We start from the raw sequence: 15,837 nt of genomic DNA on the forward strand, positions 1-15,837 counted from the left end.
CTTCCCAGCTCCTCCCCAGGCCCACGCTGATGGGATGGGAGTGCTGCCTTCCACATTTACAGGGAAGCCCGATGCAAATCATCTAAGAAGAAAAAATGTGACAACTGCACCCAATCAATTTCCTCTTGCAAAGCGGGGAAAATGCTCACGTTGTGTGAGTGAATGCCTTTCCAACTAAGCAGAAAATTTAGTGAGTTGCTGACTGTCCTTGACTCCACAGCACTTCTATAAAATATGCACATCAGCAGAGATGTTTTCCCTAACAATGCTCTGGGAAATTACATTACATTTCCAAATGATCCCCTGCTTCCCCGTGTTGCCCACAGAGACTGGCACCAACAGCACCATTAAGTGGAGGTAAAGTCGCTGCCTGTTCCCGCTGCCTTTACGAGAGCCAGGGATCAAATATTTTTTCACAGTTTTATGTGGATAGTTTCATGAAAATTGATCAGGTCTAAAAAGTCACAGTCCAAATGAAGCTAAGGTGAAAGATAATTTATACATGATATTCCTAATTTTATTCTGAGCCCTTTTATTACCATGCAGGCCTTTATGACTTTAAAGAAAATGTCAGTGGCGGCAAATGACATTGTACTGAATAATCTAGTTATGAGGGAAAAGACATTTAAAACTATTCCGCAGCAGCATTGCTGAGTTCTGCTGAACGTACACTTCTCCCCGGCACAGCTGTCCAAAATTCCTACGTTCTTAACTCCCTTTTCACGACTGTTACATGAAATGTAGGATTTGCCGGTTCCTGTTTATCCTCTCCCCGACCCGTTTTGTTTCCCTCAGATTCTTCCTGTAGATGTAAATATCTTTTAAGGCCCCATTTTTCCACCTATCAGCAAGAAAGGGAAGCTTGAAGCTATTAGCAAATCAGATTCCAAAGGCACCTGAGTCCCGCAGCACAGGAGACGGACAGATGGACACAGCCATGGTGCAGGCCCGGTGTCACAGCAGTCAACTGCAGGCCTTTCGCGGGCCAGGGGGTGCCTCGCTCTGCGTCCGGGCTGCTCCTGTGACCTGGAGGTGGGGGGCACTGCCTGCAAGTCTCACTAAAGCCCTTGACTCTTCCAAACTACAGAGGCTTCCAGACAGAGGCTGCCAGGCTGGCTGTGCCCTGCAGGGCCTCTCGCTCCTCCAGCACCTGTGGTTTCCCATCTGTTGGACAAGAGAGCCTCGCCTTTTGCTAAACTGCAATTGCAAGGAAGAATAAGTAAAGAGGAGCTTCCCGAGAAAGGCTGGGATTGATGACACCTCCTAGTGCCCTGGTCTCTGCCTCAGCCCCGACCCCTTGATGCTGGGTGTCATGCCCGGCAGCCCCATGGAGGCCACCAACCACACAACAGAAACAGCAGGCACCTGGGATCCTCGGCTGCCTTCCCAGAGGGTGGCTCTGGATGCCCAGGTTGAGCCAGGCAGACTGAGCAGGGTGTGCTCATTGAGTCTGGCTCTTTCTGGGCACCTAGGAAGCCCTCAGCATCTTCTCCCTCACCTGCCACTTCTCCCTCCAGCCCTCAGTGCTACGTGTGGCTATGTCAGAACATGATGACCTTGAATCGAGTCACATGAACTGACACTGGCTCTTCTGTCAAATTGTCTAGCAACCTTCCCAAAGACAAAAGCAAGAGCAACTCATGTGCATATACTGTGGGCTCTGCCCCAGGTCCAATTTCACCCCGATAACCCCGTGATGTGGAGGGGGTCTTGCTTTATCTCCATTTCACAGGTGGGAAAAGGAAGGCTTAGAGAGGTGGGGTGGGCTGTGTGACTCCGGGCCATGCTCCCACCCAGCTCTGTGCCCCTCCAGCCTCTGTATCTGAAAATTGAGGCTGTTGACAACCCTCTCAGGACCACTGCAAAGAACAAGCACACACCGTTCAGGACAGGGGTTCCAAGCGTCAGCAGCCCAGGTCGATCTTCTCCCACAGCAGCAAGGATGCTTGGCCACCTACTGCCGTCATCAGGGCCTTGGGTGACATTACTTATCAGAAGTGTATTTAGCCCCTGCCTGGGGATGGGCTGGAGAGCTTTTAATCTCCTTATCCAGAGTTACAGCAAGTTCTGTGTCAGCGTCCCCTTCCCCAGAGCCCCCAGGCCCCATCTTCACAGCACAGGTCAGCAAACAGGTGCATGGACCATATGCTCAGAAAAGCTGCAGCGAATATGTGTACATGCGTGTGCACACACATGTACAAACACACGAGGACTGCTCTAGAAGCTTCTATCAGAAAATATACAGCTTAATTTCAGCACACATATATATTTTTAAACAATTCACTTGTGTTTATGCATAGTGGAGGGCCCCAGGACTAGGGTGGTGCTGCGGATTCTACAGGTCCAAATCGAGCTTCAGTCTCCTTGCTGTCCAGAGGTCTTCCCCTTTGTCCACCTTGCTGGGGGCTCCTGGGCTGGCAGTGAGAAGAGCCCCACTCTCCAGAACAAACTGGCCTCGCTGAGCAAAAGGGAGGCCAGAGACTTGGGAGGCTGCATTCCTAACACCTCCAGGGCAGCCCTACAGGTACAGGTGTTCATTTGGAAATCCACTTCCATGAAATGTCAGTGGGTCCTTCACTGAGTGCAAGGCCAGAGTCTGCTGATCTGCACACACAGCATCTGAGTGGGAAATCATGGGTTTTCTTAGGAAAACCACATACTGGATGTTAATTTCCTTCCTTGACAAAGCAGAAGATCAATTAGAGGCAGAATGTGATTCTACCACAGCTACTTTCCAGAATGTATTCTCTAAGCTTCCTCCCTCCAGTCCCCATCTGGCTCTGTCAAAATGGGTTTTACTTCATCAGAAATATGCTGTGAAGTTCCCCATTAGATCATCGATCGCTGAATCCTCGACAACATCCATGCACACTTCATGCTCACAAAGACTCTGAATTTAGTACCAAATAGCAAGGAAAGGAAATTAACCAGTGCTTCAAAACCTGGCAGGAAATTTGAATTTAAATCCCTTTCTGGGGTGGGCCCCTTACAGCAGCTTCTCAAAACTGCACAGCCCCAGCTGGACAGGCCCCATGCAGGCTCCAGCCTGGCTGCACTGGGGCTGTGGGTAAGGGGCTCCCCAGATTCATGCCTATCCCTTCTTCCTGCCTGTGCCCACAGAGCCCCTGGCTGAGTCGTGGACTCAAGCACTTGATATGGTTTAAATATTTGTCCTCTCCAAATCTCATGTTGAAAGTGATCCCCAGTGTTGGAGGTGGGGCCTAAGGGGAGGTGTTTGGGTCATGGGGGTGGATCCCTCATGAAGGGTTTGGTGCCCCCTCCTTGGGAATGAGTTAGTTCTTGCTCTATTAGTTCATGTGAGAGCCAGTTGTTGAAAAGAGCTTGGCATCTCTCTTGCTCCTCTCTTGCCACGTGACACCTGCTCCCACTTTGCCTTCTCCCATGAGTGGAAACTTCCTGAGGCTTCTCCAGAGGCAGATGCTGGTGCCATGCTTCCTGTATAGCCTGCAGAACCAGGAGTCTAAATAAACCTCTTTTCTCCATAAATTGCCCAGACTCAGGTATTCCTTTGTAGCAACACAAAACAGACTAACAGTGCACTCCAGACCCTTCTGTGAAACTGAGGAGTAATGAGAGGACTCCTCCTTCTGCTCCTTCCCCCACTGAGCAGAAGGGCTCCCAAATCATCCTGGGAAGTGGGGGGCCATCTAGGAATCCCAGGGACAGAGATTGGCAGTGTCCCCTCTGCAAATAAGAAGTGAAGACAATGTGCTCAGCCCACAGGGAGACAGTGGTTTCTCAGAGTCACTGTGCATGGGCCAATCCTGATGAGAGGGCAGGCACCAGGGCTGGGCTTTCTAGCCAGGGTTGAGGCTCTGTGCCCTCTGCCAGAGGTGTCAGCCAGCCCTAGGGCTGTGGGGTCCATGACTCATTCATGGGAAGAATGTCCTCTCACATTGGCTTCCTCTAATCCATGAGCATTTGAGCTACAGGAAGGCAATAAACATGTGCTGAGCAGCAAGTAATAGCCAAGAACTTCACATAATTTCACTTAAACCAATCGTAGTTTTGCAAGAATTGGTTTCTTCCCATTTAACACATGAGAACACTGAGAATTGCAGAAGAAAAATTTTAGCAAAAAATCAAAGCTACCAAATGGCTGCAGTCAGGATTGAAGCTCTGGGCTATGTAGCTACAAAGACCCTACCCTTCCTGGCTTGTTGTCACAGATAATGGTCGACAAACAATAGAGATGTAGTTAAGATCTCACCCATTCCTCACCACAGCACCCAGCAGAGAGCCCTACAATGTTTACATTAAGAAACCAACACCACCCCCGCAAGGTCTAGATCAAGACACCCAATCCATAGAGGACTGGATGACTATTGATGACCACTGATTTACTGATCGAGTTGTCAAAGATGATTGGGAAGCTGCTGTGTTGGGCAGGACTTTGTGGTAGCATCCTGCAGGCAGCCTCACATGAGGATGCACCCTGTGGCTGAAGTGGGGAGAGAGGCAATGCTTTCCAGAGGTCTTTTCCTAAAGGAAGACAGTGAACATTCTCTTCTGCATGAGGGAGATCTGGAATTATTTTATTTGGCTCTGCAGAGAGGTACAGGGTGTATGCAAGTGACTCTTCATGTCAGCAAAGAATGCTTTAATCAGCATCTGTTCATTTTACCCAAAGCATAGGAAAGATGTTTGGGCATTCTTCATTCCATTGTCCAGAAGAAAGCTCTAAATCCAAAAATTGTTAAGCTCTGAGATGGTTCAAAACTTCCTGAGGGAAACTGAATGTGTTGGGAGTGCAGCCACAACACTAGGCAGGCCCTGCCCTGCCAGCCATCAGCCATGACCTGAGCTGGGCTGATCAGTGGCAGTTGAAGTGTCCACGTGCACAGAATCATTGCCGGTGTTCTCACATGAAAACCAACGCACACAAGAGTCGACATTGTCCTCAAGCCATTTTTCATAGAATTGTGTAGAATAACAATGCCAAGAGGGCCCTTAGCAACTCAGAAGGGCACTGAACCCAGAGAGAAGCATGATCAGTGATCAGCAAGGGACCCTCCACCATAACCCAGGCCTGCAACATCCTGGCCAGATTACTCTGACCACCAGCCTGGGTGTGTGGCAGCTATGAATTAAGGCCTTGGCAGCCAGCTGCAATGCTAAGATCATTGCATATATGCCTAAATTTTAGCAACATGCTGAGATAGTGTTATTCTTTTCTTTCTTTTTTTTTTTTTTTGAAACGGATTCTCACTCTGTCACCACGTTGGAGTGCAGTGGCACAGTCTTGACTCACTGCAACCTCTCCCTCCCAAGTTCAAGCAATTCCCTTACCTCAGCCTCCCGAGTAGCTGGGACTACAGGTGCACGCCACCACACCCAGCTAATTTTTTGTATTTTAGTAGAGATGGGGTTTCACCATGTTGGCCAGAATGGTCTCCATCTCCTGACCTCATAATCCACCAACTTCAGCCTCCCAAAGTGCTGGAATTACAGGTGTGAGCTGCCATGCCGGGCCATTGTTCTTTGTTTTGAATAAATTTAGCCTCTAAGAAGCCAAGTTTCTTGTTCAAGGTCACAATGGTGAGCAAGTGGTGAGGCTGCCTGGCATCAAAGCCTGCATCTTTAGCTCTGGACCATGGTGCAATCAATGGCCACCCTGACCACAGCCCGTCTAGCAGAGCTGGCCTTTCTAGAAAGGAAGCTCCATTCCTTCTGCTTCAAGCTCCTCTTCTGAATGAGAGCACAGTGAATAGACCACCAGCTTGTTTTTATGCAGGATGCATTCCTTTGTGTATTTTAACACATTGAATCTATATATATGATAGAGAATTTCCAAATAGTTTATGTATGCAAGTATATGACAGAAGAGGAAGGATGTCAATTGGCATCAATAAATGAAATGCACTGGAAAGATCTGCCTGGTGAAATAGAGTCTGTTTTTTCCACAGCGGAATTTGTTTGATCTTGTATTCTGTTCTGCATGGCCATTGTGAAAACTTCTGGGCACATGCAGAAGAATTAATTCATAACATTTATTAGCACAAAACCCAAGGTCGGATTGCCTTGGCTAACTCTTCCAGCTGCAGTGTTCCCATGACCTAGCCCCCACCCCATGACTCGGTTGCAAGCCCAGGCCAGGCATGCCCCACACTCCAGAGCACATATACAGTTCCAAAATAAAGCCATTCCAGAAGAGAGCCCACAGTGTCCCAGCCATGGGGATCTTTGGGTTAACTAGGGAAAGTTGTAGATGTTAGCCCTCCTGTTGCATCATTCTAGCAAAGTTATGGAAAAGTGCTCTGAGATAACCCTCAGTTTTGCACTGCACAAGGTACTAATTCATTCAGCAACTGTGTTCTCTTGGAACTAGAGTGACTGCCAAGTGAAGGGTTCCATTATGGAATGAGTGTGGGAAGACAAGCTGAACAGAGTACAAGAGGTTTCTTTCCTGCCTCACTTTTCAATACTTTGATATGATAATGTATCTATCTCCAAGAGGGAAGTATAACAAACTATCTTCCCAAGTTTGTATGACAACTGGACCCTTTTTCTCCATAGGGGCTATGTGTTTTAGTCCGTTTTATGTTGCTATAACAGAATACCACAGACTGGGTAATTTACGATTAACAGGAATTGATTTGGCTCACAGTTCTGGAGGCAGGGAAGTTCAAGAGCATGGTGCTGGCATCTGGTATGGGTCCTCATGCTGCATCTTCCCACAGCAGAAGGTGGGGCAGCAAGAGGGTGCATGTGAGAGAGCAAGAAGCAAGAGGTGGACAAACTTGCTTTTATAACAAGCCCACTCTCCTGATAACTAACCCCCTCCCTCAGTAACACTAATGCATTCATGAGAGCAGAGCCCTCATGTCCTAATTACCTCTCAATACTGTTGCATTGGCAATTGAGTTCCCAACACACAAACTTTGGGAAACACACTTAAACCATAGCACCATGTGAATAGGCTTGCAGAAGAGATTTAACCCACTTATGACATAAAGCTGCCCCAAAGTAGTCTCCAAGGGGAAAAGTGAAGGACAAACACATCATATCTAAGCATTAAGTGATAACCAACCTGGAAATACCTATTAAACATTAGCTAGTTATAGTTTATAATTAAATGTAACAAGATGTTTATTTCTTTAAAAATTTTAAAATTTGTAAAACAAGGATATGCACTGTTATCCTTCATGAAATATGGGGATAGTTGGTGCTATAAATCACATTAGTGGGACAATTGGGGAAAGCTGAATATCAACGGGATCTTAGATACTATTATACCAATGTTAAATTTCTTGAGTTAGATAACGGTATTATGCTTATGAAGGTAAGTGTCCTTCCTGTCAGGAGATGTAAGGTCAAGTCTTTAGTGGTGAAGTGACATATTTGCCACTTACTTTAAATGGTTCAGAAAGCACACATACAGAGCCACATGGCAAAATAGAAGACAGAGAAAAGGCTGTACACTGTTCTATTCTTTAATGCTCCCTGTGGGTTTGAAATTTTTCAAAATAAAAAGTTGGAGTAAGTTATACAATTGAGAATTAGAAGAAAACTTTGGAGTGACCAATTAGTTCAAAGTGGAAGCTGTACTGTGTCAAGTGGTCACATTTAGGAATCAAGGTTCTCTCTCCTCATCAGGTGTCTTCAAAATGGGCTAGTCAGGCTGGGCGCAGTGGCTCACGCCTGTAATGCCAGCATTTTGGGAGGCTGAGGTGGGAGGATCACCTGAGGTTTGGAGTTCAAGACCAGCCTAGACAACATGGCAAAACCCTGTCGCTACTAAAATTACAAAAGTTACCTGGGCATGGTGGCACATGCCTGTAATCTCAGCTACTTGGGAAAGCTGAGGCAGGAGGATCGCTTGAACCCAGGGGGTGGAAGTTGCAGTGAGCCAAAGTTGCGCCACTGCACTCCAGTCTGAGTGACAAGAGAGAAACTCCGTCTCAAAAAACCAAAAACAACAAAACAAAAAATGAGCTACTCAGTAGATGGCCATGTGTCCTTTTCCCAGTTAGCACCTGAAATGTGCTGGGATGGCCACTTTCCATCCTGACTGACCTTAATCACATTTGACATTATTCTAGGACAGCAGAACAAGATTTCCAGCAGCTCAGGTGACCTTCCTGAAGACACCAGCAGGTGTACAGTGGCCTAGCAGAGCCCTAGGAAGCTCCAGACTCTCAGGGTAACATTACCAAGGTCACAAACACAGAACAGAACTTTACAACATGTGCTTATAACCTTTCCAACTCTAAATTTTGTTTTTAGATTTTAGATTCTCTTACCACACACGCACACCAAAGGTAACTGTGTGAGAACATGGCTATGTTAATCTGTTTGATTGAAGCACTCATTTCACTATGATATATCAAGACATGATGTTGTATACCTTGAGGATCTGCAATAAAAAATAAAAATTAAAAATAAAACAGGATGCCAACTGATTTCACCTGTCTTGCTGATTGTGATTACAATGATAATGACTGTCTACAAAGTAAGACTGAAAAACTCAAGAATGAAGAGCAAATTAGAAATTAGCAATGTCTGCAGTGGACAGGGAAAAGGCAGAGTGGGGACATCTCATGTATTTGTGGACCTATTTCTTCAGAAATTTGGCAATGAGGAAGAAAGTCACCCTATTAATTCGCCTAGATATAACCATATGCTCTTCACAAACTTACTTTAAAAAAAACCTATGCTACCACTTATATGCGCAATCTAAAAACAAAAAGCAGAAAAGTAAACTCAGAAACAGGGTGTAGACTAGAAGGGTAGTGACCAGGGTTGTGCATGGTGGTAAATTGGAAAATGGCCCGGCGCAGTGGCTCACACCTGTAATCCCAACACTTTGGGAGGGCGAGGCGGGTGGATCATGAGGTCAGGAGATCGAGACCATCCTGGCTAACACGGTGAAACCCTGTTCCTACTGAAAAAAAAAAAAAAAATTAGCCAGACCTGGAGGCTCATGCCTGTAGTCCCAGCTACTTGGGAGGCTGAGGCACAAGAATTGCTTGAACCTGGGAGAGAGAGGTTGCAGTGAGCTGAAATCAAGCCACTGCACTCCAGCCTGTGCAACAGAGTGAGACTGTCTCTAAAAAACAAAAAAAAGAAAAGAAAAGAAATCGGGACGTGTTGGTCAAAGGGTAAAGTGTTTATTTATAAAATGAATAAGTTCTGGAAATCTTATAAGCAACATGGGAAGGAACTCTAGATAATAATACTCTATTGTTCATTTAAAATTTGCTGAGAGAGTAGATCCTAAACATTCTCACCAAAAAAGATATAAGAAAAAAAACAACACAGCAACTAGGTGAGGTGATGGCCGTGCAAATTAACTTGATTGGTGTCATGATTTTGACCCCGTATGCATATATCAAACCATCGTGTTGTGCACTTTAAATGTATACAATTGTATTTGTCAAGTGTACCTCAATAAAGTTGAAAAAATCAAGGTATATGTAAAAAATAAAATAAGTGTAAAAAAATAAAAAATAAAATATCCTCACGACATATTCAACATGGGGCTAAATTAAAAAAAAAAAAAACAATAAACTAACATACATACAGGAAGAATAAACAAGTCAGACACTGAGACATTGTTTTCTTGATCTTGGGGAAATACCGAGGCTGGAGGGCCAGGTTAAAATAACCAATGCAATTTGATAAGTGGTTTCCTTCATGATTCCAACTTCACCCGCTGCTTCCTACCGGGCTTGAACTCCCAGATGAGCTCATACAAAGAGTGACAGGAGTGTGCACCCCACGAGTGGAGACCGGAGATCGTAGCTGAGTGTCAGCCACCCTGGATTCCCACATGCCGCCGAGCAAACCTGGGCAGCCCAGCGCTCCTCCAGCGGGCAGCACAGCAGACGCCCGTGCCCTCAGAGTCTGTAGCGTGAGAGCTGGGACTGGGTCTAATTTGCCTGTAGATCCCTCCGGTTCCACGCTTGGAACCTAGCAGCCTAGTCACAAAGAAAGCCTTCGATCCCTGTCTGCGGGTTCCCGGTGACCCTAGAAGAATATTCTCCTCTCTGCAGCTGCACAGTCTGGGCCTATCTCCTCTTCCATTTTCTCCTCCTGCCTCTTTTTCCTCACTTTAGCTTTTATTCCCTGAGCTTTTCCCTCATCTAATTTTGCAATTGTCACCTTTGCAACACTTTTCCATGTATATGAGAACCAAAACAGCTTTTAACTTCTCAAGCATCCTGCAATAGCCCAAACCCTTAGTAACAACAACAAAAATCCCGCCAAACATTGACACTGGGCAGTGCAGCCCCTTGGGGGTCCCGAAGGGGTCGGAGAAAAGAGCAGTGCCTTCTGTTTAGAGACAGGGGAGGAAAGAGGTGTGGCGTTTCTTTCAATATCCCAAGTCTGATTTCTTGTTTAGTTGGATTAGCCTGGATCAGCAAACATGAATGACACCTAGCCGTCTGCACGTTGCTCAGTCATTCCTGGTCTTACCCGAGAAAAACTATACAATACTTGTGTTTAGGGGACTTAAATATTTTCCCGTCATGTGGTCCAGCTGAAAAAGAAAGTGACTCTTCTGCTCTTCCAGCTGCTTTACATTCTGGTAACAGAATAAATGCAAACAAAACCACAATGCATAGGATTTGATTATAAAAATACGAAAGGAGACCCAATAGTTCTTGAGTGCACAAGCCCTCACGAATTCCATGGAAGAAACTTTAGTTTGAACATCTGCATATTCAAATTCTCTTAATTTTCTTAAACTTCTCCTTTAAGAGGGAATGACTCTACTCTCTCCATGTTCCTTAGACATTTCCCCCAATAATTTCATCCAATAGTTTCTTTTATGCTTATCCTTGAGACTTCATCTGGAAAGACTGATTGACTAATGAGTGAAGCAGCTTATGGTAAAACATCTCTATTAAATTCTCTTGGTTTTTTTAAGATAAAAAAAAGAAGAAACTTTTTCTTTCTCTAAATGCAAATCTTCCTTGTAACACTGTGCCTAATCTACTACAACTAATTAATCTGCTGGAGCTGATGAAATGTTACCTCTGCATTTTTTGTTCCTTGTATACAATTATTGTAACAGTGGTGAATAAATCAATATTCCCAATCCAACTGTAAAAAACAATCAAGAAAAGCAGTGCTTCTCAGGGAAAAAAACACCAAATAATATTTATTAACTCTGTCTCAATTCACAACAGAACCAAATACCATTCAGGCATTTTCTGCAAGTGTAATAAGCAAACTCAGATACATGATGAAGGTGGCACATGCCAATAATTTCACCATTTTACACTGCAGAGTAATTGAAGGATTTAATGAGAAACAAACCAATAAAAATAAATAGACCATGTTAGAGGAGGAGAAACTGATCTGAAATGGAAGTTGCTCCATTGTGAGTTTAGGGTTTTTTGCATGGTTTGTCCAAGGGAAAAAACAGGACAACCAGCTCTTATCCACTTTCTCAAAGAAGAAAATCACACACAAGATTTTGTTTCTGCAGATAAAAACCCTGGCCATGGGAACTACTCGCTGTTAATCGGGAACGTGGCCCCTCCAACTGCAGTCATGCTCCTCTCCTGAGATGCCTGACTAGGACAGGGCCACCCTGTGCTCTCAGCTAGGGAGCTGCTGATCCCACCAGTGGATTCCAGACCAAGGCGAGCCTGACCTGGAGCTGCTGATCCCACTTCAACACTTGTTAGGAAGCACAGTCCAGTTGGCAGCCCCCAGTCAGCTCTTGGCTGCAGGGGAATCAAGAGACTGCAGAGACAAAGAACCTGGAACATGGAACCCCCCCCCCCCACAAAGAATAAGTCGGTGCCCCATAAATGCTGTGAGCAAACACAGATGGAGCCTTAATCTGTGCCTGTCTCTACACCGACAGATTCAGAAATGAACAAGTCACAGTCCCTACCAAAGAGCTCACGGTCAAAGTCAAGGGTAGAAGAATATATCCGAAGGGTATCTTATGGGGCCAGTGAATGCAGTCCTCTAACTGTGAGACAGAAGGGCTTAGAAATGCTTCTGGGAGAAGAAAACACCAAGGCAGAGCAGAGGACATGCCAGGCAAGCAGGCTTAGCTGGGGAGGCGGTGCAGGAGGGCATGGTGATTGGGCATTGCTGGAAAGGTGCTCCAAGTGTGCAAAGGCACAGAAGTGTGAGTGACCGTCTGCAGGGCAGAGGGACAATAAAATGAGAGAACGGCAGCCAGGGCCAGGTTGGGAGGGGATCTCACCTAGACCATCTCAGAGAAGCCTGGAGGCCGTGGAAGGAAGAGATGCCTGGAAGGTAAACCTTCCATTTGCATTCAGGCGTGGGAGGGAGGAGCCCTGTGGCTACAGGGCTGGCCTGTTCCTGTCTTTGCGCACATGTGTGGGGGCGGGGCAGCCTGCTCCAGCCCCTCTGGGTCCAGTGAAGCTCCTCCATGGTGGTGCCCACCCCCAGGCCCGAGCTGATGCATTTGCCACTCTGCCCAGGGTGGCGGGGTTAACCTGTCCAGGGATGCATCTTGGTCATCTATGTGTACCATTATGTTTGGAAAAAATGCAAACCTTGACTATTTTCTTTAAACTCAGATTAGGAGAATCTGGCTTAACAGTGGTTTCTCTAAGAGATCCTATTTTTAGCTCCTTTGTTTTGATGCCCTCCCCCACATGCACAGTTGAAAACACTCGATTGTAATAAGTAATTGTTGGGTGGCAGCTCTGGGGGCAAGGGAGACAGAGGGGTCAAAGCACGTGAGCAGAGGGGTCCTCCCCAGATGTGTAAGGGCCCCGTCAGGGAGCAGGCCGCAGACCCTTTGATCACATCTTTGAAGAGCTCTTGAAGAGTATTGACGGGCTGAAGCATTTTATTTCCAAACCGAGTTCAAGTGTGCTGGTGTTGTGCCTGGGATGCAATAAGCAGGGGAGCTGGACATCTGTGCAGTGTGGCTGGGTGGAGAGGCTGCAGCCTCCCCACCAGGAAGCTCTAGGATCTGCGTGGAGGAGCTGGCCCCTGGGAGGCATCCTCGACCACCTGTGCCAACCCTGGTCTCTCTTCCTTATCCTTCAGGGGATACAAAGAGGGAGTTCACTTGTATTGAACCTGCCCAGATCCACCCAGAAAAAGACTCCAGAAGACCAACCCCTTCTCTCCACTCCCTCACCAGGAGCCACACTTCTGCACTTGAAGCTCCAGTCCTGGGGCCCAGCAGGGCATTTTCAATTGAAGGGGATGAATTTAAGCATTTCTACAAGCTCCTTCAGAAGCAGGGGGAGGTGGAGGAGAAAGGAAGGAAGGAAGCAGGAGGAAGGAAAGAAGGAGGGAAAGGAGGAAAAAAGGAAGGAGGGAGGGAGAGAGGAAGGAGAGGGGGAGGGAAGGAAAGGAAAAAAAAGGAAGGGAAAGCAAAATGGAAGGAAGGAATAAAGGGAGGAAGGGAGAGAGAGGGAGAGGGAGAGGGAGAAAGAGGGAGGGAGTGAGGGAGAAAGAGGGAGGGAGGAAGGAAGGAAAAAGAAAGAGAGAGAGAGAAAGAAAGAAAGAGAAAGAAAGAAAGAAAAGAAGAAAGAAAAAGGGAGAGGAAGGAAGGAGAGAAAGAAAGAAAGAAAGAGAAAGAAAGAGAGAAAGAAAGAAAGAAAGAGAAAGGGAGAGAGAGGAAGGAAGGAGCGAAAGAAAGAGAGAGATGAAAGAAAGAAAGAAAGAGAGGAAGGAAGAAAGAGAAAGAAACGAAAAGAGAAAGAAGAGCAAGCTAGCTGTGGCTGCAGGGCCCTCCAAGAGAGGTGGCTGGGGGGACACAGATGCTGCACTGGGCTGGCCTCCCCAGTGATACCAGGTCTCTCCTTGGGCTACAGAGAACAGCCTTGATCCCCCAAGAGACAGGAGTGGGTGATCCAATGGGCCCAGAAGGCCGGCCCAACAAAGTTGGATTTCAGGACCTGGGGTGAACACCCACACCTTCACAATCCCAGAGGGACCGTAACGAAACTCTACTCAGGGAAACATTAATAGGTCTTTTAATTTTAGAGCCATAAAGCCTATTATAAAGCAATAGTTCTGATTTCTTCATTTTACCTGTAAAATAGGAAACAAAAGCCATGCTTCCGAGGCCTTGATGTGGGAAGTGACTTCCTGAGATCGCACAGCTAAGGAATGACAAGTCCCCACCGCCTCCCCGCCACATTTTTCCAATCTAACCATCGCCTGCACCCTACCCCCTGGTTTACCTCAGAGGACAGAATCTCTTCTGCCGCAGGCAAGTCCTCAGCCAGGTGTGCCGAGTGGAAGGTAGCCACATGGCCTGGTGACAGGAGCCAAGCTTGCCTCAGCCTCCTGCCGGATCTGAGATATTGCTGCTACCCTCCTGGGCCTCAGTGTTCCCATCTGGAAAATGGGAAGGCTGATAAGAAAGACGGAGACCCATAGACAGCTGAAGGACTGTGGGATGCTGAGAGTTGTCCTGGAGCCTGGGAATGACTGAAAAGTCAGGATGCCCTGGCCTGCTGCAGGCCATCCTGGAGGCCAGAGGAGCCCCTGTCCACCACTTCTGGGTTCCTCTGTGGGCTCCAGGGCCTTTGGGAAAGGCGAGCCATGTATAGCAGGGTCAGTTTCTCTATTGTCCCCAGGAGGATGGCCCCTCCCCAGAGCAAAGCACATTTATAATGGGCCTCCTGCAGGAAACAGGCTGGAGGCCCAGGGCCCAGGCAGACAGTGTGGGGAGCAGCAGAGAGTTTCCTCTCTGGACACACTATTTACTGGTCCAAGCTGCTCTCAGCCAGCCATCCCACGGACCCAGCCCAGGGACCCCAGCCTCTTCCAGTTCAAGACAGGGGCACAGCATTGAACTGGAAGCTCTGGCATGCCTGGCGATGTTGGTGCTTTCATGGTGGTGCATGGGGCAGTTCCGACAACATCCCTGAGAGGCCGGGGCTGACATGGCACTCTGCAGAGAAGGAAACTGGCTCAGAGAGATGAAGCTGTTTACAGAACTACTTCCTGGGAGAGCTAAATTCAAGTCCAAGAATGGGTGCCTACAAAGCCCATGACCCCACGTTCTTCAACAGTGCAGGGCCACCAAGTCAGCACAGGCCCTCTAGGAAAGCCCATTAGATACCACCTGTGCTCGCAAAGACATCAGGCACACAGCTCGGGGATCGCATTGGGGTGTGGAATTAGTGTCCCTAGTGTTGAAGCAGCCATTGGACGGCCCAAGCTGGGAGCAATTGGAGGGGCTTCACGAGGGAGGCACTGTTTCCGGGCACCCCCACCTGGGCACTGTCTCAGCCGCATGCCCCATCCCCATCCTCCTGTGTCTGCTGCAAGTGAGTAGAGGAGGCTGGGGTGCCATGGGTGGCTGATCAAATAGGTCTCTCCCTCCAGACTCGTCTCCCAGGATAGCTCCTGGGCCAGAGCTCCATGTCTGACTTGAATCTCAACATCTCACCCCTCCATGCTAGACTGGGTCAGGGCAAGACCAGAAGCTTCCCAACCTTGGCCTGTACGGTGAGTGATGTAGAGGCTGCTAGCAAGTCCCAGCCTAGGGGGGATAAGCCTGCAGAGAGGAAGGTCATCTCTCTGCTCCTCTCAGGTTCCATGCTGGAATCTGGCAGCAGCTCAGGGTCCCCCGTGGGGTCACTACTCTCCCAACCTTGAATCTTCAAAAGCCAAGGAGGGGGTGGCCACACCTTGGCTGCCTGGAAGTTGGAGCTCCTGTTACAGAAGCCAGGATCAGGGCTTGCAAAGGGTACGTACCCCCTTCCTTAGGGACTCAGGGAGGGCAAAATCACCCCCATCTTTAGGGCCTTGGGGAGGGCAAAGTTACCCCTGTCCTTAGGACTCGGGGAGGGCAAAGCGCACCCTCATCCTTAGGGACTCAGGGAAGGCAAAGAGCACCTCCATCCTTAG

Source organism: Homo sapiens, chromosome 10 (assembly GCF_000001405.40).
Source record: "Homo sapiens chromosome 10, GRCh38.p14 Primary Assembly".
Classification (NCBI taxonomy): domain Eukaryota; kingdom Metazoa; phylum Chordata; class Mammalia; order Primates; family Hominidae; genus Homo; species Homo sapiens.